Source organism: Homo sapiens, chromosome 7 (assembly GCF_000001405.40).
Source record: "Homo sapiens chromosome 7, GRCh38.p14 Primary Assembly".
Taxonomy (NCBI): Eukaryota; Metazoa; Chordata; class Mammalia; order Primates; family Hominidae; genus Homo; species Homo sapiens.
Window position 1 is genome coordinate 1,793,930 of NC_000007.14, and position 24,266 is coordinate 1,818,195.

General features: G+C 50.9%; 1 protein-coding gene across 6 annotated transcripts in view, besides 3 other annotated features; it reads right to left on the bottom strand.

Moving 5' to 3' along the window:
* Positions 14,046-14,547: an enhancer, noted in NCBI's record as "H3K4me1 hESC enhancer chr7:1847611-1848112 (GRCh37/hg19 assembly coordinates)". NCBI's record gives its function as "activates a minimal SCP1, AML or CMV promoter by ChIP-STARR-seq in naive H9 embryonic stem cells {active_cell/tissue: H9 hESC(naive)}" and the evidence as "EXISTENCE:reporter gene assay evidence [ECO:0000049][PMID:30033119]".
* Positions 14,548-15,047: an enhancer, noted in NCBI's record as "H3K4me1 hESC enhancer chr7:1848113-1848612 (GRCh37/hg19 assembly coordinates)". NCBI's record gives its function as "activates a minimal SCP1, AML or CMV promoter by ChIP-STARR-seq in naive H9 embryonic stem cells {active_cell/tissue: H9 hESC(naive)}" and the evidence as "EXISTENCE:reporter gene assay evidence [ECO:0000049][PMID:30033119]".
* Positions 19,102-19,677: an enhancer, noted in NCBI's record as "H3K4me1 hESC enhancer chr7:1852667-1853242 (GRCh37/hg19 assembly coordinates)". NCBI's record gives its function as "activates a minimal SCP1, AML or CMV promoter by ChIP-STARR-seq in primed H9 embryonic stem cells {active_cell/tissue: H9 hESC(primed)}" and the evidence as "EXISTENCE:reporter gene assay evidence [ECO:0000049][PMID:30033119]".
* Positions 21,866-24,266, bottom strand: part of MAD1L1 (mitotic arrest deficient 1 like 1) — a 417,151-nt gene continuing 414,750 nt past the window's right edge. For all 6 annotated transcript variants that reach the window (NM_001304524.2, NM_001304523.2, NM_001013837.2 and 3 more), the window contains one exon: positions 21,866-22,299. In NM_001304524.2, the coding sequence (NP_001291453.1) occupies positions 22,141-22,299 (159 nt within the window). In that variant the 3' untranslated portion in view covers positions 21,866-22,140. The remainder of the gene's footprint in view (positions 22,300-24,266) is intronic.

Sequence of the window (24,266 nt, forward strand, 5' to 3'; positions counted from 1 at the left end):
AGCTATGAGAGAGAAGGTAGAAAGTATGTGAACAAATGAAGAATTTCAGCAGAACAATGGAAAGTATAAGTCAAATGGAAATTCTAAAAGCAAAACAAAAACAACCAATAACACAGATGAGGAATATCTTCAAAGGGTTCCTTAGCAGATTAGACACTGGCAAGGAAAGAATTATTGAACTTGAAGACAGATCAATAACAGATGCCCAAGTGAAAGCATACAGATAAAAAAAAGTGAAAATAAAAACAATAACAGAACAGAGTATCTAAGAGCTGTGAGACTCTAAAGGAACATACTACATGCAGTTGGAAACCTAAAACAAAAGAGAACAGGACAGAAGAAACAGTTGAAGAAATAAAGGCTAAAAATTTTTCAAAAATAAGAGATATCAAACAATGGATTCAAAAGGTTTGAGAACCCCCCAAAAGATAAATAAAAAAGGGACACCTGAATACAACATATGAAAATTGCTGGAAACAAAAGGTAAAGAGGAAATCTTGATGTCAACCAAAGTATAGAAAGTACATTACGTAGAGAGGATCAAAGGTAAACATTGCAGCAGATTTGTTGTTTGAAACTATATCAACAAGATAATGGAATGATATCTTTACATAAGCTAGAGAAAAAAACTCAAACCAGAATTCTATACTCAGAAAAAATATATTTTAGAAATCAAGACAAAATGACTTTTTGCAGACAAACAAAAGCTGAGGGAATTCATTAGTAGCAGATCTATCTGCATTACAAGAAAAGTTAAAGTTCTTTGGAGAAAAGGGATTATGGTGTCAGACATAAGTTTGGATCTACTCAAATCTTTGGAAATGATTAAAATAAATATAGTTAAGACTCCTTATATTTAATCACTGTAAAAGGAAATTGACTTTCTAAAGCAAATACAGTAGCAATGTATTACAGGTTTATAGCATATGTCAAAGTAACATTAAAGAAAAAGCACAAAAGATGAGAAGGAAGAACTGGAACTATACTTTTGAGCAACCATTAAAAATTTTTGAAAAAGAGTTACAGACAAAAGTGGAGACAAAATGGAAAAGGAAACACCAAATTTATCCAAAATTAGGCAGAAAAAGTAGAAAACGGAAAAATGGAACAAAACAAGAACAAAATGGTAAACTTTAATGAACCATGTCAATAATTGTATTACATGTAAATGGTCTAAACATGCTAATTAAAAGACAGAGATTGTCAGACTGCATGAAATACTAAGAACCAATTATTTGTTGTTTACAAGAGATCAAATTAAGTATAAATACATAAACATTAAAATCAAAAGGATGAAAAATATATACTATGGGTTCTATAATACTAAGCAATGTATTCTCAGCTCCTAATTCACCTTCAATGCCTGATCTTTGAAATTGGTTATTTTTCCTTTACAGTTGGCAAAACATTCATCAGTAGAGGGCACTGGAGAGACATGGCAGGAAGAGGGGTCTTGATTCTTGTGGCTTATTCACCATTATCCTGAAGAGCACTGTTTTCCCCCTGACTGCTTCTGGTTTTCTGTGGTGCTAGATGCCACAGGATTCAACTTTCTCCAGAGTATGGCTCCATGTGTTTTTTCCATATCTCAACCTGTGCAGATCTCAACCTGTTCCCACCTGGTATAGGTAGGAATCTGAGACAGTCTGGTCACAGCTTCTTGCCAAGTCCTCATCTCCAGGAGCATGCACAATGGGGATGCCATGGGGGTGGTCATCTATTGAGCTGGCCATTCAAATTTCATCCACACAGACACCCAGAGCTGCCTCAGCTCTCCACATCCTCTTCTCAGCCCCAAACACATGCATGTTGGGGTCCTGGCAGGGCTGGCTCACTGGGTGGCCAGTCCCTCAACCTGCATCCCCGACATTGGCCCAGAGTGATGCTGGTCCGAGCCATACACAGAGGTGTGCTAGGTTACACACATGAGGAAGCCTCTCTGCATGAAGAAGCCTCTCTAGCTCCCAGTTCCAGCAGAGCCTGCATAGAAACTTGTCCCACCACCCTTACACCTGACTCCTTTGGCCTGCCTCCATCATCCACAGCTTACCTGTATTTTCTTCAGCCCTCCAAATGCAGACATCATGAGTTCTAGGACTCTTTCCGACAGTGTCACTGAATACTTCTTTATGCCTGACATCCTCTGCACACCTGTTTGCTAGTGTTAGCTCACATGCTCCCCAGAGGGCTGTTCCTGCTTTCCCAGTGACCATGGACCAGCTCTTGCTCAGGCAACCCAGAAAACATCTCCACCTTCCAGTAGCTGCAACCACACCCTTTTCAATGAGGCCTGAATCTCCCCGCTGCCCCCAGTCTGTCTTTGCTCTCCTCAATGAAGAGTGTCCTTAGAGTTCTCTTTCCATTTTTATACTCTTCTATCCTAGCTTGATAATTTCTAAATATTAAACCTCTCCTGTTTAAATTGCTGTGTGATTTCTGTCTGATGATTGGATCCAGATTGGAACTTGAAAATTAAGAGCAAATTAAACCCAAGGCAAGCAGCAGGAAGGAAAAAATATTTTTTAAGAGGGCAGAAACAAGTGAAATTGAAGAGAAAAATAGACAAAAATGAATGAAACCAAAACATGGTTCTTTGAAAAGATCAATAAAATTAATATGTCTTTAGCCAGACTGAAGGAGGAGGAGGAGGAGGAAGAGGAATAAATTATTATCATAAATGAAGGGGGGAGCATCATTACAATCCCTACAGACTGCTAAGGGATGATGACAAACAACTTTTCGCTCATAAATTCTACAACTTAGAAGAATATATTTCTTGAAAGGAATATATCCCTTTCCTACAAACTACCAAAGCTCACTCAAAAAATAAAAATGAAAAATAAATGGTCCTATATCTATTAAAGAAATTAATACTTGCAAACATTGTAAAAATAAAACTCTGGGCCCAGATGGTTTCACTGACGAATTTTACCACATATTTAAGGAAGAAGTAACGCTAGTTCTACACAATCTCTTTCAGCAGTAGAAGGAAGACTTCACATTTGTTTATGAGGTCAGCATTACCCTGATACCAAAATCAGACAGACATTACAAGAAAAGAAAACATCAGAACAAAAGCTTTTTAACATAGACCCCTTCAAAATTCTTTTTTTTTTTTGAGATGGAGTTTGCTCTTTTTGCCTAGGCTGGAGTATAGTGACATGATCTCGGCTCACTGCAACCTCTGCCTCCTGGGTTCAAGTGATTCTCATGCCTCAGCCTCCCAAGTAGCTGGGATTACAGGTGTGCACCACCAGGCCTGGCTAATTTTTGTATTTTTAGTAGAGGTTGGGGTTTTACCATGTGGTCCAGGCTGGTCTTGGACTCCTGACCTCAGGTGATCCACCTACCTCGGCCTCCCAAAGTGCTAGGATTACAGGTGTGAGCCACTGTGCCTGGCCGCAAAATCCTTTTTTAAAAAGGACAATATATAACAACTAAGTGGGGTTTACTTCAGGAATGAAAGGTTGTTTCCACGTTTAACAGTTAATGTAATTCAATTTCTTGATAACGTAGAAACATATGATTACCTCAATAGATGCCAAAAATACACTGAAATAGCGCAACTTTTCAAATTAAAACTTTCTGACAATTACAAATAAAACAGAACTTAAGTTGACCAAATATACCAAAATAACTTATAGATAACATCATATCAATAGTGAAATATTGAATGTTTGCTCCCTTTGTAAACAAAATAACACTATCACCACTTTGGCATGACATTATGCAGTAGATTCTAGCCAATGCAATGAGGCAGGACAAATTTAAAATGGTGATAAAAAATGGATCTGCAGAAGTAAACCGTCTTTATTTGTAGGCACCATGATTGTGAGCCTAGTAAATCTAATAAAAAATCCACAAGCTATTAGCCGGGCGTGGTGGTGCATGCCTGTAATTCCAGCTACTCAGGAGGCTGAGGCAGGAGAATCGCTTGAACCCAGGAGGTGGAGGTTGTGGTGAGCCAAGATCGCACCATTGCACTCCAGCCTGGGTGACGAGGGAAACTCTGTCTCAAAAAAAGAAAAAGAAAAATCCACAAGCTATTAAATTAATTTAGCGAAATTCACCGGATACAATATACTAAAACTAATATACAAACATCAATTGTATTCCTAGAGTTTCAAAAAATTAGAAAATTAATGAATTTTTACAACACTGTGGAAAAAGAATCAAATACCTGGGGATCTAATGAAAAATATGTAAGGTCTCTATACTAAAAACAATAAAATGTGGCTGAGAAATTAAAAACTGCTATGTAAATGAAGAGATATACTGTGTTCATTAATCGACTCAGTATTAAGATGTCAGTTCCCCTCAAATTGATCTGTAGATTCAGTGCAATGTCAAAATCCTCACGAGTTTTATTGTGAAAACTTAGAAATGAACCACCACATCCATAGCCCTCTGACTTATGACAAAGGCACCAGTGTAATTCAGAGAGGAAGGGATGGGCTTTTCAATGAATCGTTTTAGAGTAACTGGATATTCATAAGGGGAAAAGTGAACCTTGACCTCACACCATAAGTAAAATTAATTTGAGATTAATCATACATCTAAACATAAAAGCTAAACCATAAAGCTTCTACAATAAAATATAGAAGACTATCTTGATCACCTTGGGCTAAACAAAGATGTCTTAAATAATATACAGAAAACATTAACCATTAAAAAATGCCAACTTAGGGGCTGGGCACAGTGGCTCACACCTGTAATCCCAGCACTTTGGGAGGCTGAGGCAGGTGGATCACCTGAGGTCAGGAGTTTGAGACCAGCCTGACCAACATGGTGAAACCCCATCCCTACTACAAAAATAAAATTAGCTGGGCATGGTGGTACACACCTGTAATCCCAGCTACTCGGGAGGCTGAGGCATGAAAATTGCTTGAACCCGGAAGGCAGAGGTTGCAGTGAGCCAAGATCATGCCACTGCACTCCAGCCTGGGCGACAAAGCGAGACTCCATCTCAAAAAAAAAAAAAAAAAAAAGGCTGGGCATGGTGGCGCACACCTGTAATCCCAGCAATTTGGGAGGCCAAGGTGGGAGGATCACTTGAGTCCAGGAATTTGAGGTCAACATAGTGAGACCCTGTCTCTGCTAAAAATACAAAAATCAGCTGGGCGTGGTGGTGGTACATACCTGTCGTCTCAGCTGGTCGGGAGGCTGAGGTGGGAGGATTGCTTGAGCCCAGGAATTCAAGGCTGCAGTGAGCTATGACTATGCCACTGTACATCAACCTGGGTGACAGTGAGACCCTGTCTCAAAAATAAACCCATGGTAAGATACCACCACACACCCATCAGAATGGCTAAAATGAAAAAGGTGAAACATACCAAGGGCTCTGAGGACATGGAGGACCGGCATTCCCAAACACTGCTTATGAGAGTGACGCCAGTCACTAGAAATCTGTTTGGCAGTGTCTGCTAAAGCCGATGTGATGGCCAGGCATGGTGGCTCACGCCTGTAATCCCAGCACTTTGGGAGGCCGAGGTGGGTGGATCACCTGAGGTCAGGAGTTCGAGACCAGCCTGGCCAACATGGTGAAACCCCATCTCCACTAAAAATACAAAAATTAGCCGGGCGTGGTGGTGGGCGCCTGTAATCCCAGCTACTTGGGAGGCTGAGGCAGGAGAATCACTTGAACCGGGAGGCAGAGGTTGTAGTGGGGTGGGATCATGCCACTGCACTCCAGCCTGGGTGACAGAGCGAGATTCTGTCTCAAAAAAATAAATGAAGCTGAGGTGGATGTCCTTTGACCCAGTGGTTCCATTCCTGGGTCCGTATCCCACAGAAATGCACACCTGTGTTCCCCAGAAGACGTGAACAAGAATGCTCACAGTGACCCATTCTTGATGCCCAAAGTAGAAATCTACCCATCAGCAGCAGAATGGATAAACTATGAAATCATCATGCAGTGGAATCTACGCAGTAACGACGATGAGTGAAAATAACCACCCAGGCCGGGCGCGGTCTCTCATGCCTGGAATCCCAGCACTTTGGGAGGCCGAGGTGGGCAGATCACGAGGTTAGGAGATCGAGACCATCCTGGCTAACATGGTGAAACACTGTCTCTACAAAAAAATACACAAAAATTAGCTTGGTGTGGTGGTGGGCGCCAGTCCCAGCTACTCGGGAGGCTGAGGCAGGAGAATGGTGTGAACCTGGGAGGCGGAGCTTGTAGTGAGCTGAGATCGCGCCACTACACTCCAGCCTGGGCGACACAGCGAGACTCCATCTCAAAAAAGAAAAGAAACTAACCACCCACAGCAATACTGCTGAATGTAATGCATACAGCATTTGGGCAGAAGCCAGACACAAGTGAAGACACGCTGTGCGCAGTTTCATTTCCATGATGTTCACAGCAGGCAAAACGTCTCCCTGGTGGGAGGGGTCGCCCTCGTGGGCACAGGTGGTTCTGTGGGGGCGTCTGATAAAGTTTCCTGTTGGGAGCTGAAAAACGAAGATTCACTGAGCTGCACCCTCATATTTGTGTATCTTTGTTACACTTCAATAAAAATTTACATGTTAAAAACTCAAGGCCGGGTGTGGTGTCTTACGCCTGTAATCCCAGCACTTTGGCAGGCTGAGGTGGGTAGATCACTTGAGGTCAGGAGTTTGAGACCAGCCTGGCTAACATGATGAAACAGCATTTCTACTAAAAATACAAAAAATTAATCAAGCGTGGTGGTGGGCGCCTGTAACCCCAGCTACTTGGGAGGCTGAGGCAGGAGAATTGTTTGAAACCCGGGAGGCAGAGGGTGCAGTGAGCCAAGATTGTGTCATTGCACTCCAGCCTGGGCAACAAGAGCAAAACTCTGTCTCAAAACAAAACAAAACAAAAAAACACTCTTAGGAAAAAAGGAATAGATTGGATTTATTCCAGATTTCTTATCTGGAAGAAGGGATCCAACTATAATTTATAATAGTGAGACACTTGATATATTCTCCTTAAAAACAACAAAAACATTGCAAGAAGCTAGCAGCCCCCTCGCGGCCCCTCCAAGTCACTGCCCACCACCCAGGAGTGACCCTGATCCCCTGTGTGTGGAGCTCAGTAATTAAGAGAGTTTGGCAGGAAGGCTGGGATAGACGTCGTGACTGAGGAAGAAGAACAAAGGCGCAGACGCTGATCCACGCGTGTGTGGAGGCCTGATTTATGACAGCCCGGGCGGTGGAACCAGCTTGGGAAACAGGAGACTGTTTAATAAATGCTGCTGAGACAATTCGTTATTCATGTGGAAAAAATGAAATTGAGTTTCTGTCTCACGTCATAAATAAAAGTCATTTGCAGAAGACAGTGTGGGAGATTATGTTTATGTCCTCACTGTGTTGGGGTTTCTTAAGACGCAAGAGCGCCAACCATAACAGAAAAGATTGATAAATTCAACTACATGAACATTGAGAACTTTGTTTATCAAGAAATGACATAAAGAGGATAAAAACAAGTCACAGGGTGCAAGGAGATCTTTTCCACGCATACAACAGCAAAGGATGGGTATCCAAGTATAAAAAGAATTCCACAAGATCAGTAAGAAAGAGACCAAGCCCACAGAAAAATGAGTAACAGACAGGAACAAACATTTTACAACAGAAGAAACGTGAATGGCAAATACTTCTATAAGAAGATATCTAGCTTCTTTGGTATTCAAGAACAAGTATGTTCAAGTTGCCATTTTGTACCCAGTAGACTGGAAAAACTTGGAAAGTCTGGTAGTACAAAGCATTGGTGACAAGATGTGGCAAGATCTTGCACCTTGGCTGGGCGCAGTGGCTCACACCTGTAATCCCAGCAGTTTGGGAGGCCACAGCTAGAGAATTGCTTGAGGCCAGGAGTTTGAGACCAGCCTGGGCAACACAGTGAGACCCCATCTCTTAAAAAAAACATTAGCCAGATGTGCTGGTATGTGCCTGTCATCCTAGCTACTTGGGAGGCTGAGGCAGGAGAATTGTTTGAGCCCAGGAGTTCAAGGCTGCAGTGAGCTATGATGGTGCCACTGCACTCCAGCCTGGGCGACAGAGCAAGACCCTGTCTCTAAAATTTAAAAAAGAAAAAGATGTTGCATCTTGTTAGTGGAAAGGTAAATTTGTCTCAGCACTTTGGAAAGTAATTTGGCTTTAGCTTGTAAAGCTGAATATTGACAGGTGCAATGCCCCAGAAGTTCTACTCCGAGTTAAATCCTAAATAAACTTTTCTACATGAGCCCAAGGAGACAGGTAGTGGGATGTTCACACCACACTGTTTCTAGTAGCAAAAAATTGGAAACAGACCAAATGTCCATTTGATGGATAAATACATCTTTGTTATATTCATACTATGGAATTTTACACCGTGGTGAAATGAATCAACAACAATCCAAGAATAATATGGATAAATCTTAGAAACAGAACATTGAGTGAGAAAAAGTTCAGTTGCAGGCCAGGCGCAGTGGCTCACGCTTGTAATCCTGGCACTTGGGGAGGCTGAGGTCAGTGGATCACCTGAGGTCAGGAGTTCAAGACCAGCCTGGCTAACATGGTGAAACCCTGTCTCTACTAAAAATACAAAAATTAGCCAGGCGTGATGGTGGGTGCCTGTAACCCCAGCTACTCAGGAGGCTGAGGCAGGAGACTCTCTTGAACCTGGGAGGCAGAGGTTGCAGTGAGCTGAGATCATGCCATTGTACTGCAGCCTGGGCAACAGAGTGAGACTCTGTCTCAAAAAAAAAAAATTATTATTCATGTTTCATTCAGCTTCATAAACAGGCTCACAAAATCATTTTGGCTTGGTTCTGTGTAAACTGTTTAAGGTTCTGTGTCCATTTCCTGCCTCCAAGGGGCACATCTGTCCTGCCCACACCTTTCAGTTTCCTCAAATCCCTGCCTTGTCCCCCACTCTCACGTCACCATGTTTACCTTGCACAGACGGCATCTTTCAGCAGCAGTTTTCTTGGTCACTTAAAGTTTTTCCGATCACTCATCCCTAAACTAGAAACCGGGCTTCAGGAGCCCCTTGGTGGCTTGAACAGAGGAGATGGCCAGTGGCTGGTGTGGGGACAGCCCAGGAGAATGACTTGTTTTGTGACATCCGAGGCCTCTCTGGAGTCCCTGGCTGGGGGTGGAGATGGTGCTCACTCTAGCAGAGAAATTCAGCTTCTGCCTGACTCCAGGTCACACTGGGCCAGCAGCCTGCAAGAGAGACCTGGCTTCACACCCTCTACATGGGACAAACTCTAAGATATACACAAAGAGGAAAGAAACACAAAAAGCAGCCCAACAGTCAGAGACAGGTTTATTTTGGAGGAATAAACCAGAGAGGGGCTTCTGGCCGATTTTTGGTCAGGAGTGCTCTTTTTTTTTTTTTTTTTTGAGATGGAGTCTTGCTCTGTCGACCAGGCTGGAGTGCAGTGGCGTGATCTTGGCTCACTGCAACCTCTGCCTCCCGGGTTCAAGTGATTCTCCTGCCTTACCCTCCCGAGTAGTGGGGACTACAGGCACCCGCCACCACGCCCAGCTAATTTTTTTATTATTAGTAGAGATGGGTTTTCACCATGTTGGCCAGGCTGGTCGCAAACTCCTGACCTCATGATCCGTCCGCCTTGGCCTCCCAAAGTCCTGGGATTATAGGTGTGAGCCACCACACCCAGTCAGGAGCGCTCTCTCTTACAGAGTAAGGGTATATATTGGTTTTAGGGTGAGGGGGCTTATCACAAGTTTGGAATGTTTCTGTGTGGGGCAGAAGTTTTATGGTGGGGTTGGAATGTCTCTGGGAGGAGGGCAGGTTGTCTGTGGGCTGACTTCTTTCCGGCTGGAGGGGGGTTATCTCAGGGCTGGCGTATCTCTGGTTGGGGAGGGGTTTGGAATGTTTCTGGACGGAGATGTTATTTGTGGTTTATGGTCATGCTGACCTTAGCCATTAGGCTGATGCCCTTTGGATGTAGGCGGCTTTTGATCAAAGTGAACTTTAGAATGGTGGTATTTGTCCAAGATGGGAAAACTCCTGCTCTGTCACAAACTGTTACCGGAGAGGGGTCCCGATCCAGACCCCAAGAGGGGGTTCTTGGACCTCACACAGGAATTCAGGACGAGTCCATAGCGTCACATGAAAGCAAGTTTATTAGTGAAGTCAAGAAACAAAAGGGTAACCACTCCATAGGCAGAGCTGCCGGGGCCGCCGGCTGGCTATTTTTATGGTAATTTATTGAACATATGCAAAACAAGGGGTGGATTATTCATGAGCTTTCTAGGAAAGGGGGCGGAGAGTTCTTGGAACTGAGGGTTCCTCTCCTTTTTAGACCATAGAGGGGAACTTCCAGGCGTCCGCATGGCATCTGTAAACTGTGGTGGCGCTGGTGGGAGTGTCTCTTAGCATGCCACTGTATTATAATTAGCACATAATGAGCATCGAGGATGACCAGAGGTCATGTCCGTCGCATCTTGTCAATAATGACCAGAGGTCACGTCCGTCGCCATCTTGGTTTTGGTGGACTTTGGCCAGCTTCTTAGCCACGTCCTGTTTTATCAGCGGGGTCTCTGTGTCCTGTGTCTTGGGACCCCCTGTGTCATTCTGTGACGAGGAACACCCAGCCTCCTGGGCTGCAGCCGCGCAGGTCTCAGCCCCATTTTTCCCAGCCCCTGTTCAAGATGGAGTTGGTCTGGCTGGAAGGCCTCTGACGAAAGCGCCTCCTCGCGTCTCTGTTCCGGGATCTTTCATCTCCAGGGGGCTCCTGCGTATGCGGAAACGCCCTCCCGCCTGTCTCTGCTTGTCTCCTGATCAGTTCACTCGCCTTACAAACCTCCTAAGTCTATGTCCCTAAGTATTTAAACACAATTGCACAATTAATGAATCCCAATTTAAAAAATTAACCAATAACATTTCCCAGGTATTTAAGTATTGATTACAGACTTTAATCAAATACTTCTAAATATTAAAATCACAAGCTAAATGTGCTTAAATCACATAGCTAAACGTGCTATGGACCAAATTGCGCGCTCTCCAAATCCACGGTGCAGCCCCAGCCCACGTGTGACCGTGCTTGGAGATAAGGCTTTAAGGACGTGATTAAGGTTGAATGAAGTCCTAAGCGTGGGGCCCTGATCTGATAGGACTGTGGCCTTATAAGAAGAGAGCTCTTTCCTCTCTCCTCCTCTTTCCCTCTCCCCCTTCCTTCCCTCCCAGCCATGGGAAAAGACACCACTCACAAGCCACAAAGAGGCCTCCCCAGGAACTGAACTAGCCCGCACCTTGATCTTTGCCTTCCAGCCTCCAGGACGGAGAGAAATGGATTTCTGTTGTTTGTAAGCAGCCTGGTCTATGAGATGTTGTTGCGGCAGCCTGGGGGGACGCACACACTACAAGTTATTCCCAGGACTTAAAAGCATAGTGCCAGCTGGGCGTGGTGGCTCACACCTGTAATCCCAGCACTTTGGGAGGCCAAGGCGGGCAGATCACGAGGTCAGGAGTTCAAGACCAGCCTGGCCAACATGGTGAAACCCCGTCTCTACTAAAAATACAAAAATCAGCTGGGTGTGGTGGTGTGCGCCTGTAGTCCTGGCTACTTGGGAGGCTGAGGCAGGAGAATTGCTTGAACCTGGGAGGTGGAGGTTGCAGTGAGTAGAGATTGCACCACTGCACTCCAGACTGCGTGACAGAGCGAGACTCCGTCTTGGGGGAAAAAAGAAAAAAAAAAAAAAACCCAGTGTCAGAGGGTGGGAGGGTTTTGGGGTATGATGGAGTGGTGGGTTCACGACTGCATGTTTTTCTTTTCTTTTCTTTTCTTTTTTGAGATGGAGTTTTTTTGCTCTTGTCGCCCAGGCTGGGGTGCAGTGGCGTGATCTCGGCTCACCGCAACCTCCACCTCCCGGGTTCAAGCGATTCTCCTGCCTCAGCCTCCCGAGTAGCTGGGATTACAGGCTCGCGCCTCCACATCTGGCTAATTTTTGTATTTTTAGTAGAGATGGGGTTTCACCATGTTGGTCAGGCTGGTCTTGAACTCCTGACCTCAGGTGATCTGCCCGCCTCGGCCTCCCAAAGTGCTGGGATTACAGGTGTGAGCCACTGCACCTGGCCATGTTTCTTTTCTTGAGACAGAGTCTTGCTCTGTCGCCCAGGCTGGAGTGCAATGGTGCGATCTTGGCTCACTGCAACCTCCATCTTCTGGGTTCAAAAAATTCTCCTGCCTCAGCCTCCCAAGTAGCTGGGATAGCAGTCATGTGCCACCTCACCCAGCTAATTTATTTATTTTTCATTAATTAATTTTTTTTTTTGAGACAGTCTCATTCCATCAGCCAGGCTGGAGTGCAGTGGCGTGATCTCGGCTCACTGCAAATTTTGTCTCCCAGGTTCAAGCAATTCTTGTGCCTTAGCCTCCCAAGCAGCTGGAATTACAGACATGTGCCACCACACCTGGCTAAGTTTTGTATTTTTAGTAGAGACAGGGTTTCACCGTGTTGGCCAGGCTGGTCTCGAACTCCTGACCTCAAGTGATCCACCCGCCTTGGCCTCCTGAAGTGCTGGGATGACAGGCATGAACCACCGTGCCTGGCCAGTGCTTTTTCTTTAAACTACAAACTCCGTCTCCTTCCCACGTACATTTCTCCCGCTCTCAGTGACCACCACTGTATGGCTGTGTTGCTGGTCTCCCTGAGCCTCGGTTTCTCTTCTGCAACCTGGGGGCCCACTCCGGGAGTGAATTGGGAAAAAGCAACTCAGCTGAAGCCTCCAAGCCTCCTCCCGCTCCCTGGCGATCTCCCGGGAGGCTCCTGTAAGGCATGGGCTGGAGGTCGGGGGGCTCGTGGCTTAGAGGTGACTGCTGAGAAATAATCATAACGAAAGGGAAAAACTGAATTTCCTGACAAAAAGGGGGAATCAGATATTTAAGGCAGTCAGTGGGGCTCTTGGCGGCCGTTGAAACCACACTTCTGGAGGAACATAATGGCGTGGACAGAGCCTCATATTCTAATTTTCAGTGAAAACAGAAATAACGTAAAACAGCATATGCAGTATGGTCCAAATTCCCTGAAAAAATTATTTGTGTCTTCATAAATATGGTATATATTGTCTGTAGAAATGTGTACATATTGAGATATTTATCTGTGTAGATATAAATATATGTATAAATATGTGTGCATAGGCCAGGTGTGCTGTCTCACTCCTGTAATTTCAGCACTTTGGAGGCCGAGACTGGAGGATCACCTGAGGTCAGGAGTTCGAGACCAGCCTGGGCAACGTGGCGAAACCCCGTCTCTACCAAAAATACAAAAAATCAGTCAGACGTGGTGGTGGGTGCCTGCGTTCCCAGCTACTCGGGAGGCTGAAGTGTGAGGATTGCTTGAGCCTGGGAGGTGGAGGTTTCAATGAGCTATGATCATGCCACTGCCCTCCAGCCTGGGCAATAGTGAGACCCTGTCTCAAAAAGAAAAAAATGTGTGGGCCAGGTGCGGTGGTTCACGCCTGTAATCCCAGCACTTTGGGAGGCTGAGGCGGGTGGATCACGAGGTCTGGAGTTTCAGACTAGCCTGACCAACATGGTGAAACCCCGTCTCTACTAAAAACAAAAAAATTAGCTGGGCGTAGTGGCGGGCGCCTGTAATCCCAGCTACTCAGGAGGCTGAGGCAGGAGAATCGCTTGAACCTGGGAGGCGGAGGTTGCAGTGAGTCGAGATTGCGCCACCGCACTTCAGCCTGGGTGACAGAGTGAGACTCCGTCTCAAAAAAAAAAAATATGTGTATATATGTATACATTTCCGTGTGTATATATTTAAATATATAGTACATATTTCTCCGTAGACATATATAAACGTGTGTGTGTGTATATATATATATATTTCTATGTGTATTGTCAAAAAACAGTATTTAAACAACTTGGGTTTAATGATGGGAGTGGCTCCTGTTAGCGATTCCCGAATTTGGCAGCTCCATCTGTGTAGCTGCTTGTCTATATGACACGGTGCACACATGATGACTGTAACTGTCTATATGACACAGTGCACACGTGATGTCTGTAGCTGCTTGTCTATATGACACGGCGCACACATGATGTAACTGCTTGTCTATATGACACGGTGCACACGTGATGTCTGTAGCTGCTTGTCTGTGACACGGTGCACACGTGATGTCTGTAACTGTCTATATGACACAGCGCTCACATGACTGTAACTGTCTATATGACACGGCGCACACGTGATGTCTGTAGCTGCTTGTGTGTGACACGACGCACACGTGATGTATGTAGCTGCCCGTGTCCACATGTTCTGGGCATTTCTGTTGTGTGTCTCCAGGCGTGTGTTGCATGTATAACTCCAGTGTCTGTATAACTCCAGTGTCTGTACCTAGAGCCCACTTGGATGCGAGCTGTGAAAGCTGCCAAGATACCCCCTTCCTGAAGATTCTGGGGTGTTAGGGGAGGGCACCGCACCCGTCCTCACCCCACACATCCATGAAAAAGGTGACCAGGGCCCCCGACTGCACCAGGGCTCTGAGCAGCTGTGGGGTGGCCCTCATGGGGTCATGCAGGGCTGCGTCAGAGGAGGGTGGTCCCACCTGCAGAGCGTCCACCTGGTGTGCAAGTGAGACCTTGATGAGGACATATATGTGAGAGCTGCGGGTCCCAGGGGTGCTTCTGCCTGTGTGTGCGTGTGCATGCAGACAACACACAGGTATGTGTGCACACTCACAACACACACGTGCACACAACACGTGTGTGCACACTCACATGTACACATGAGCACTCACACAACACACGTACACGGAGGAGGGGTGGGAAGACAAGAGCCTCCAGGAGCATTGCTGAGTGGGCGTGTTTAAGTGACTTTTTGAGATGGAGTCTCGCTCTGTTGTTCAGGCTGGAGTGCAATGGCATGATCTTGGCTCACCGCAACCTCTGCCTCCTGGGTTCAAGCGATTCTCCTGCCTCAGGCTCCCGAGTAGCTGGGACTACAGGTGTGCGCCACCACGACTGCCTAATTTTGTATTTTTAGTAGAGATGGGGTTTCTCCATGTTGGTCAGGCTGGTCTTGAACTCCCGACCTTAGGTGATCCGCCGGCCTCAGCCTCCCAAAGTGCTGGGATTACAGGTATGAGCCACCGCACCCGGACTTCAGTGACTTTCTTTTTTTCTTGAGACTTTCCCACATTTTCTAAATATGTTACAGTGACTGAGTATGAATGTTATAAAAAACCAAAATTCTAGTGTATGTTTGTTTTTAAAGTAAAAACTCCTGAAGCCATCTCCTGTCACAGGGCTGCCATGGGGCAGCTGTGAAGGCTCCAGGTCTGGGGCCCACTCAGCCCTGCCATACTGGGCTCGGGGGGAGGCTCCCTGCCAGATGGGTGGCCCCAGGAAGGGGCGGCAGGAGCAGCACCTCTAGCCGTCCGCCTGAGGCTTCGTTTACCACTGGGCCTCAGGGCCTTCCCCTCTCCGGCCAGCTCTGAAGGGGTTAAAATGCTTCACCAATGCAAATAGATTTAATTAATCCTTTCATCAGCTGCAAATATACCTTCTGAACCCTATTAAAAACATGAATATGCAAATATAGACCTTTTTGAATTCTCATTTTCGAGGACTTGGTGTTGGGTTTGATTAGCGAATTCCGTTAACAGCCTGTAAACCTGCTGCAAAATTTAATTTCCATTTTAAATTAAAAAAAAGCATGAAAGCGGTGGGTAATTGGGCTAATTATAGTGTTATGCTGAAGAGGCCACATACTGCGCCCTGGGGTGTCCCCTACCTGGGCTGGGTGCTGGGCCAGGTGGACACCCCTGGCAGGTCATGTGGTCCGTTTTCCAGATGCGAAGACTGAGGCCCAGGGAGGGGAGGACCCTTGCCCACGACCATCCCGCAGGCTGGGCTGAGCCAGCATTCAACTGAGGCCTCCTGATGTCCCGGCCGGGGTGCGCCTGGCTGCCCAGCCCCTGGCTCCGTCTGGGAGGAGGGGGTGCTCAGAGGAAGCTGAGGGGCCATGAGCTCCAGGTCCCCGGTCCTTGGTGGGCAGTGCTCACTGCTCACCTCTGTCCCTCTGCCCAGGAGGGAGCCAGGCCTGGCTCTGCCACCGCCTCCGCCCGTGCCCAGCGACACCAGAGCTGGGACAGCCGCTTCCCCTGTTCTCTGGTTCCAGTTTTCTCATTAGTCGAGTAGGGACACAGCACAACATCACCTGTCACCACGCAGCATGGATTCACCCGCACACACCTGTGCACCGGTGTGAGCCAGGACTGTCAGGCGCCAGCTCCCTCGGTGAACGTGACAAGGCCCCTCCTTCCCCACGGGGGTGACACGCCAGAGCCAGGGGCGCCCGGGGTGGCTGGGCCCAACCGAGAGGGACAAGTGGAAAATCCAGCGGGATCCCCGAGACCAAAGCCGACTGTGGAAGGTCCCATTCACCGTTCGCATTGGTCACACGTCGACACGATGCCATGTTGGATAGATTGGGTTAGAGGTGTATTTGCTAACATTAATTTCACTGGCTTCTGCTTACTATTTAACGTGGCTACTAAAAAATGTCAAGTTACGTATGCGGTTCGCGTGGCGTCTCTATTAGCGCTGTTCTGTGAGGACGCTAATCTGTCTGAAACATGACTGTATCTGCTGGAACAGATGTGCAGTCTATGTCTATCAAAAATAAACTATGCATTGAACAAAACGCCAGGTAGTGGGGAACGCCGGAAGAAAGGATAGAGCTGGCTCAGGAGATGAGGGGAAGGGAGGGCTTACTCATGGGTAAGGATCAATTGGGCAGCTCCTGCCGCTGTAAACAAACCCCAGACTACGACCCGCCGGGGCGGCCTCCGCCGCACCAGTTCTTTCTCGAGGTTCTGGGGGCCCAGGTCCAAGATCAGGACATCAATCGGCAGGGCCTGTTTCCCCGGAGCCTCTCCCCGTGGCTCTCAGAGGGCCACCTCTGCTCGTTGGGATCTGGGACTCGGTGTTTTGTTTTGCTTTGAAAGATAGTGACACAAATGGTTCAGAACTATGGAAGTTCTGAAAAATGCTGTCAGTTTTACTTTAAAATGAGAATCTGGTGTTTCTGTGTGTCACCGTTTTCAATAAAATTTCTTGAGAGTGTTGGCAACAACAGCAAAATCCAGTGAAACAGATCAGTACACGCGTCTATGGAAAATTTCCAAGACATATTGTGAAGTGAGAAAAAGCAAGCTGCGGAACAATACGTAGGGATTTTAAAAGCACACAGACCACCCAGGGAGGCAGAACCGTGTGTTTTCGTGTGTCCATATGGTAGGTGTGCACATCCACCCACAGGCGGGAGAGTCTGGGATGGGGGCCAGAAGGGACTTCTCCTTTTCACTCTACGTTCCTCTCATATTGTTGGAGGGAACTTTGTTTTGTTTTAGTGTTAAAAATGTATTTGAATTGTGCAGTTAAAGAAAACATAAAACAAAACGAGACTGCCAGGCTGGGCCAGCTGATGTCTGGACCGGGCTCCTGGCGCCTCCTTGCCGGCCGTCTCTCACTGTGCGACTTCGGACAGGGAACTCCTCCTCTCTGGGCCGCAAGCAGCGATTTAAGCATTCTGGTGAAGCCGCCTGTCCTCAGGTGCACACACATGCAACCATGTGCACACATGGCTATGCACCAACACACATGCAGTCATGTGTGCACACATGAACACGTGTACACATGGCCCACACCAGTACGCACATGTGAAGTCATGCTTGCACACAGGAGCACATATGCACCTATGTGCACATATGACACACCAATACACGTGGTCACACATGCACACATCACATGTACACACATGCTCATGTACACAAACCATACAGGGATACATGCACGTACACACATCTGTACATACACATGTGCACACAGGGCCACACACCAATACACAAATGCAGTTATGCACACACACGGCACATGTATACACACAAACCAAGCCTGGGGACATGCACTGCACATGCCTATATGTGCACGTGTACACGGGTCATGTGTCCAGGAGTGGCAGTGGTGCATGCCCACACCTCTGCATGTACATGCCTGTAAACACACTCCTGTATGTATAGCCCGAGGTTCTGAGCCCCTGGACCTCTGAGTCTCCCTCCAATGCTGTCTCTGGATGAAGGTCCCAGCCCTCGCCTGCCCATGGTGTCCTGGTGACATTTTAACAGGAGGGCAATGGGCCAAGTTTAACTCAGACGCTGGGGCCTGGAGGGGCAGCTGAATTTGCAGTCAAGAGAGCAGGGTTTGAGTCCCTGCCCAACACAGACTTGCAGGAGGCGTTGGTGGGCCAGTCCCTGGCTTTCTGCACTGAGGTCTCCTCTCCTGACAAGACCAGACTTGCAGGATCAGTATGGGATGAGGATGAGCATTGCCAATTGGCAAGTTCCAAGCCGATGAGAGCCTCTGTGTGTACGAGCTGCGGGAGAGACTTGTTAAAGGTAGATTCTCACAGTTGCTCCAGGCAGGACCTGAGGACCTGCCTTTCTCAGGTGCTTCCAGGGACCCCACTCTGAGAAGTGAGGGGCTGCAGAAAACCCAGGGATTTCTCCAAAACTTGCACGAGTTGTCTGTGGGAAGGAAAGAGACAGACTAACCCTGCAATGGTCTTGTGCTGGCTGCCCGGTGCCAGGTGCAGTGGGAGGGAGGGAGGGAGGTTGATCCCTCAGAGGCCCCGGCAGGTGGCACTGTCCTCTCCAGCCTGCCGGGAGGCTGGAGGGAGCCCTGGGGCCCCCCAAATCCTGTTACATCCTGGCAATTACAGTTGATTGCTGTAGCACTAATCCCTTAAAATTAGTCATTAGCGGCTTAAGAACCATTTAGCGTTGGGTGCCCACTAAGGAGCTGGGGGGAAGCGGGGAATCTGCCAGAACCAGAACTTTCTCTGGCCCGGCAGCCAGGGCTGGGCAGGGACAGGGGACCGGTGGCGCCTCCTGGGGTCCTCACACGCTGTTTCTTTCCCATTCCACCTGGCAGACGCGTGAAGAGGATTTGACAAACTCGTGGGGAAGGTTTATTAAATCAGCCCGCAAGGGACACATGTTATCAGAGACCTCTGCTCTCTCCAGCCCACCCAGACACGTCCCTTGGGGGTGTGAGGGCTGCTCCAGCCCCGCCTCTGCCTCTTCCCGGGGAAAGGAAAATCCCATGATCAGAGCAGAGCCGCCTGCCGGCCGGAGCTGGTGCATCTCAGCGCTGGCTGGGGGGCCCAGCCTCTTGTAGACCCTCCCGGGGAGCCGGCAGGGGAGGTGCCGGCCCCGGGCTCCCCGAAAGGAAGGTGCTTTGGAGATCCCTGGCTGTGGAGGGGGAAGGGGAGACCAAGGCAGGAGGGTACCCCTGGTCCGGATGCGGATGTGGACGGGGAAGGGGAGACCAAGTCAGGAAGGCGCCCCGGGTCCAGATGCAGACTTGAGATTGCACCTGGGGACAGGGGGCTTGTTTGTGGCCCTTTAGCTGCCAAGCCCGTCTTGATGCCACAGAAGCCGGGGTGGAAGGCAGGTGTGGGCCGTGGCCCAGGCTGCAGCAACCAGAAGGTTCAGCAGCCTCAGATCTTGGGAAGGTGACACAAGGGCTTGGGGACAGTGGGTGGAGTCCTGTGGCCATGAGGGTCTGTGGCTGTGGGAACCCCTGCTGCGGTTTTTCTGGTGTGGTTGGAGGCCGTGACCATTGCTCCTCAGCCACCAGGTTATGCATCGGTGATGGCAGAGCCAGTGGTCCCAGGGTCCCGGAGCTGAGGGGTGTGTGTCCACCGGGGGAGTCAGTGGGGTGTGTGTCCACCGGGGGAGCCGTGGGGTGTGTGTCCACCGGGGGAGTCAGTGGGGTGTGTGTCCACCGCGGGAGTCAGTGGGGTGTGTGTCCACGGGGGGAGCCGTGCCAGTGCCTCCTGAGGCTGAGCCCACCTCCCCACTCTCCATTTTCTCAGCCTCTGCCCCAAATCCTCCTGGTAAGTTCCATTCCCACCTGGGCTGGCTGGAGTTTAGCTCTGGCCTTGCAATCAAGACCACCACCTTTGGGGGGGCTCCTGCCTGGACCTGGACCCGGCTGTCGCCCACCAGGGACCACTCCCCCTGCTGCCCCTGGGGCAGAGGCTGCGGGCTTCTGTTCTGCCTGAGGGCTCAGCCCTCTGTCCTCCCCCAGGATGGCCCCTGACCTCCAGCCTCTGGGCCCACCCTATCCCCGCTTCCTACCTGGTGGGGTCCCATCCGCCTTCAGGGTCCAGTCGGACCCCATCTCCTAAATTGCCTTGACAAGAACCGGCCCCTGTCCCTCTGTGTTCACAGCCAGGGTGGTGCTGGCTCCCTGGTCCTGAAGGGCCAGCTGAGTGGGGCTCGGTCCCAGAAGCCCCAGGTCCATGAGTGTGTGTGGGGGCCGTCACCGGGGCTGCTGGCGGTGAAAGGGTGGGTGGAGGCAGGCACCTCGGCTCTCAGGCTGTGGCACGGCAGGAATGGTGATGGGGAAAGCAGGGTGGTGGGGGCTGGGGTGCCAGGACCCTGGGATTGACCTGGGGGGTATTGGCAGAGGACAGCCCAAAGGCTAGACCAGGGCCCCGTTCTGATTATCTGTGGCTGTGGGAGCAGCATCCTGTGTGGGCCCCGCTGTGCTCAGCTGAGACATGGGGCTGTGGCCACCCCAGGGCTGCGATGGGGCCGAACAGTCTGGGACTCCGGGTTTCAGTGTGAGAGCCAGTGGTTGCCCAGCTCTGGCGGGGCTGTGTGTCTGTCTGAGGCACATGTGTGTCCAGGGGCCGAGCCAGGGCAGAACAACCTTCACGTGACATGGAGACATCTCACTTCTCTTGTCTGCACAGCCTGCGTCCCGCACAAAGCCTCGTGAAGCTGAACCCCATGGGCCTCCGAGGACCCCTCCGTCAAACCCCTTGCGCCCAGGAACAGAAGCCAACACTGAAAGGTGACATTGGGGGGTAGGGAGAGGACACGCAGGAGGAATCAGGGGCTTCCTGTCTCGAGGCTGGGGGACACAACACATCCGTCTCTCCCAGTGGGCCTCTTAGTGGACGGCCCCCCAACTTTCCCCTGAGACCTGGAGGAAAAGGGCTTTCATGAAGGGTTTGTGGAACCTGACGGAGTGTTCTAATGGTGGGCGGGGGGGGGGGGGGGTTGCTGGGAGTGGGAAGTGGGACGTGAGGCGGGGGTGGCAGAGCCGGAGCTGCCCCACCTTTGAGGAGTCTGGGTGGAGGCGGCAGTCCCGGGCGTGGCCCTGGCCCAGGCCCACAGTTCGCAGGCAGGTGGCAGGGTCCACGCCTCCCTGCTCCTTCCTCCCCCTGCCCCCGCCCCCACCATGGGTCTCCCTCCGTCTCAGCATTGGAGGCTCTGGAGCAAGGCCGTTCCCCTGGCTGCACCAGCTCCCCTCTGCTGGGCTCAGATAGCGGCAGCTGCACCTCTGAATCATCGGCTCATATTCCCCATGGCTGGAGAAGGCCGGGGCCGCCGAGTTGGGAGGAGGGGACTCGCTCTCCAGCCTCCAGGGCCAGATGCTCCATCTGCCCCATGGGGCGGAGCCACCCCACACCCCTGGGTTTGGTGCTGCCAGCCGGGTCCAGGCCCTCTCTTGGCCCTGGAGAGATGGGCACAGAGGGCAGTCTCCCCTCGATGCACCCTTATCTGTGAGGACAGTCCCCCCAGCCCCTGTGCCTCCATCCGGGTTCCATCAGCAAAGGGAAGTCCTGGAGCTGGGGCCCGGCCTTGAGGCAGAGCTGGAAGCTGCTACGCGGAGGGGCCTCAGCCCATGGTGGTGGGGAGGGCACCCCAGCCACCCTTGGTCCCAGCTGCCACCTGTGCACTCCCTGAGCAGAGATGCCTGACTCACCCTAACGTTGTCCGGGCTGCAGATGGCGGCGGCTGCTGAGGGAGCTCCTTCCCCTCCTCCCGCCCACCCTGCTAGGGCTAGGCCACAGATACACAGGGCGAGTGGGAGTGTCTAGGGGAGAAGATTTTATTTCACAAGGTGAGGAACCCAGGCTGGTGGCCGACGCCCACACACCAGGCTCCGGGACGCATGGGGTCTGCACGTGGAGAGGGTGCTGGCCGCCCCAGCAGGAAGCCCGACGTAGGTCCCAGCGTGTCTGTCAGTCATGCTGCTGCCCTGTGGGGCTGGAGAGGCAGGACGTGCACCCAGCCTGTGGCTGGCGGGGCAGGGGACCTGCAGGTCAGGCCAAGCAGAGTGGCTCCGGCTATGCCCCCGAGCCTGCAGGCTACGCCACGGTCTGGCGGCTGAAGAGCTCGAGGGTGAGCGAGCTGAGGAAGGCAGGGATGCTGTCCTGGCGCCGCAGGTGCACCTCGATGAGCTCGCCCACGGTGTGTGAGAACTCTGTCTCCAGTAGCTGCATCTTGGAACCCGAGGGGCTGGTGGCCTGCGGGGCAGTCAAGAAAGAGACAAGACAGCGGTCAGCCCGACAGGCCTCTCCCTCTCCCCTCCCTCCCTACACAGCCCCTCCAGCCATGGGGGCTTCCCTCAGTCTGAGGACCTGGACAGGGGTAGATGCGTCCTCAACCCTGCCAGGCCTTATTCCAGGTCACCTAAAGGGACTGAATTAACCCAGGGCAAGGTCTCTGTTGTCTACACTGTCATCTACCCAGGCAGTTGGGGGTCCCAGGCACTGTGGGGTGTGCCCACCCAAGGGGCTGCCACCTTGCTCCTTCCTCCACCTGGGGGGCTCCAGCACCTGTGCCAGGCCCTAGTGCCACTCTTCACTGAGGCTGGAGGACCCCACGCCCTGGGCAAGTCCTGCAACGCCTTCCACACTGCCTGGGCCCCATGACCTAGTTTCCCCACTTGTGCAGGGGGGCGCTGGGGGCCCAGGGGGAGTCTGGCTCTGTGGATTCTGCAGCCCAGAGGGCGGCCTCCTGTAACTGGAGAACGGGCAAGGAGGAGCTTCCAGACAGCGCTGCAGGCCCCAGGGGACACAGGGCAGGAGTCACACAGCAGGTCTGAGCAAGCTGCTGTGCCACGGTCCTGGGCTGTGTGGGGAGTGGACAGAGGCCCTTCTGAGCTGCCCCCGAGAGCCAGCCCCACCCCGGTCAGCACCCACACAGCCCCAGGTCAGGCAGGACACAAACCCGGCCCACCACAAAGCTCCCTCTGAAACCACGTCCCTGAAAAGTCCTGTACCCAGAATATGCCCAGAACTCCCACAACTCCACCATGAAGAGGAAAGAGCCAATTAAACAAGGGGCCCTTGAACATTTCTCCAGAGAAGAGCCACACACGGCCAATGAGCTCATGCCAGGACGCTGGGCACCGGGGAAACGTGAACCGCAACTGAGCGAGACACGGAGCCGCCTCGCGCCGACGGCCACTGAGAGCAACCACCATGAGCTGCTGGGTCGAGGGGAATCAGACCCTCCGCGTCGCTGGCGGGAGCGTGTGTGGTGCGGCCACTGCAAACAGCCGGCAGCTCCTCAAAGAGCTGGACGCAGAGTCCATGGGCCCAGCACCCGCCCGGGCGCGCAGCCAGGGGGTCTGAGCGCAGTCCACGCACAGACCTCGGCACGGGTGTCCACGGCAACACGATCCCATCACCAACAGATGGAACGCGGAACCAGCCCTCAACCGCCGGAGGGAGACACAAAACCGGGTTTACCCGTCAACACCGCTTCGTACAGCCGAACTCTGATACACGCTGCCACGCGGGCAAACCCCGAAAACACGCCCAGCCAGTCACAGAGACCTGTCGACACAACTCCGTGCCCAGGGGATGTCCTGGAGGGGCACGTCAGGGCTCAGGGCCAGTGGAAATGTGCCACGGTTAGACTGGTCGCGGCTGCGCACTGAATGTGCCGGGAGGAACGGAACGGTAGACTAATGGAGCGCTAGACGTGAGGGTGAGCTGCATGTGTGTGCATCGGAGCTCAGGAAACCGTTTTGGAAAGCGCTCCCTCCGCCCGGCAGCCCTCTGGGAACCCTCCCCAGGAGCCACAGGGCGGCCTGGCTCCATCCAGCTTGGTCCTGGCAGCTCCCCTGTCCACCGGAGCATGCCTGGGCTGGGCCCCGCCCTGATGGTGTCGCCCCTCCCCTCACCACCTTTGGAGCACGTGCTGCCCCAGAGGCCCTGCGACCTGACCTGTTCCTGCACCTCCTGTTTCTCAGGAGCCGTCCCCGTGCCCTCCCCCTGCCCTCCCCCTGTTTCTGCTGCCTTAGTACATTTGGCCTTGTCATAGTTCAACACAAACCATTTTTAAACAAAAACAAGAGAAACCACTCTGACCTTTCGCTGAGAAAATCCTTTCACTTCTGCCTTCTGCTCTTGATTCTGAATTTCTCCCCCTAAATGTCAGAGGGGCTGATTCTCCTGCAGCTGCCGGGCAGGGGTGGGGAGGC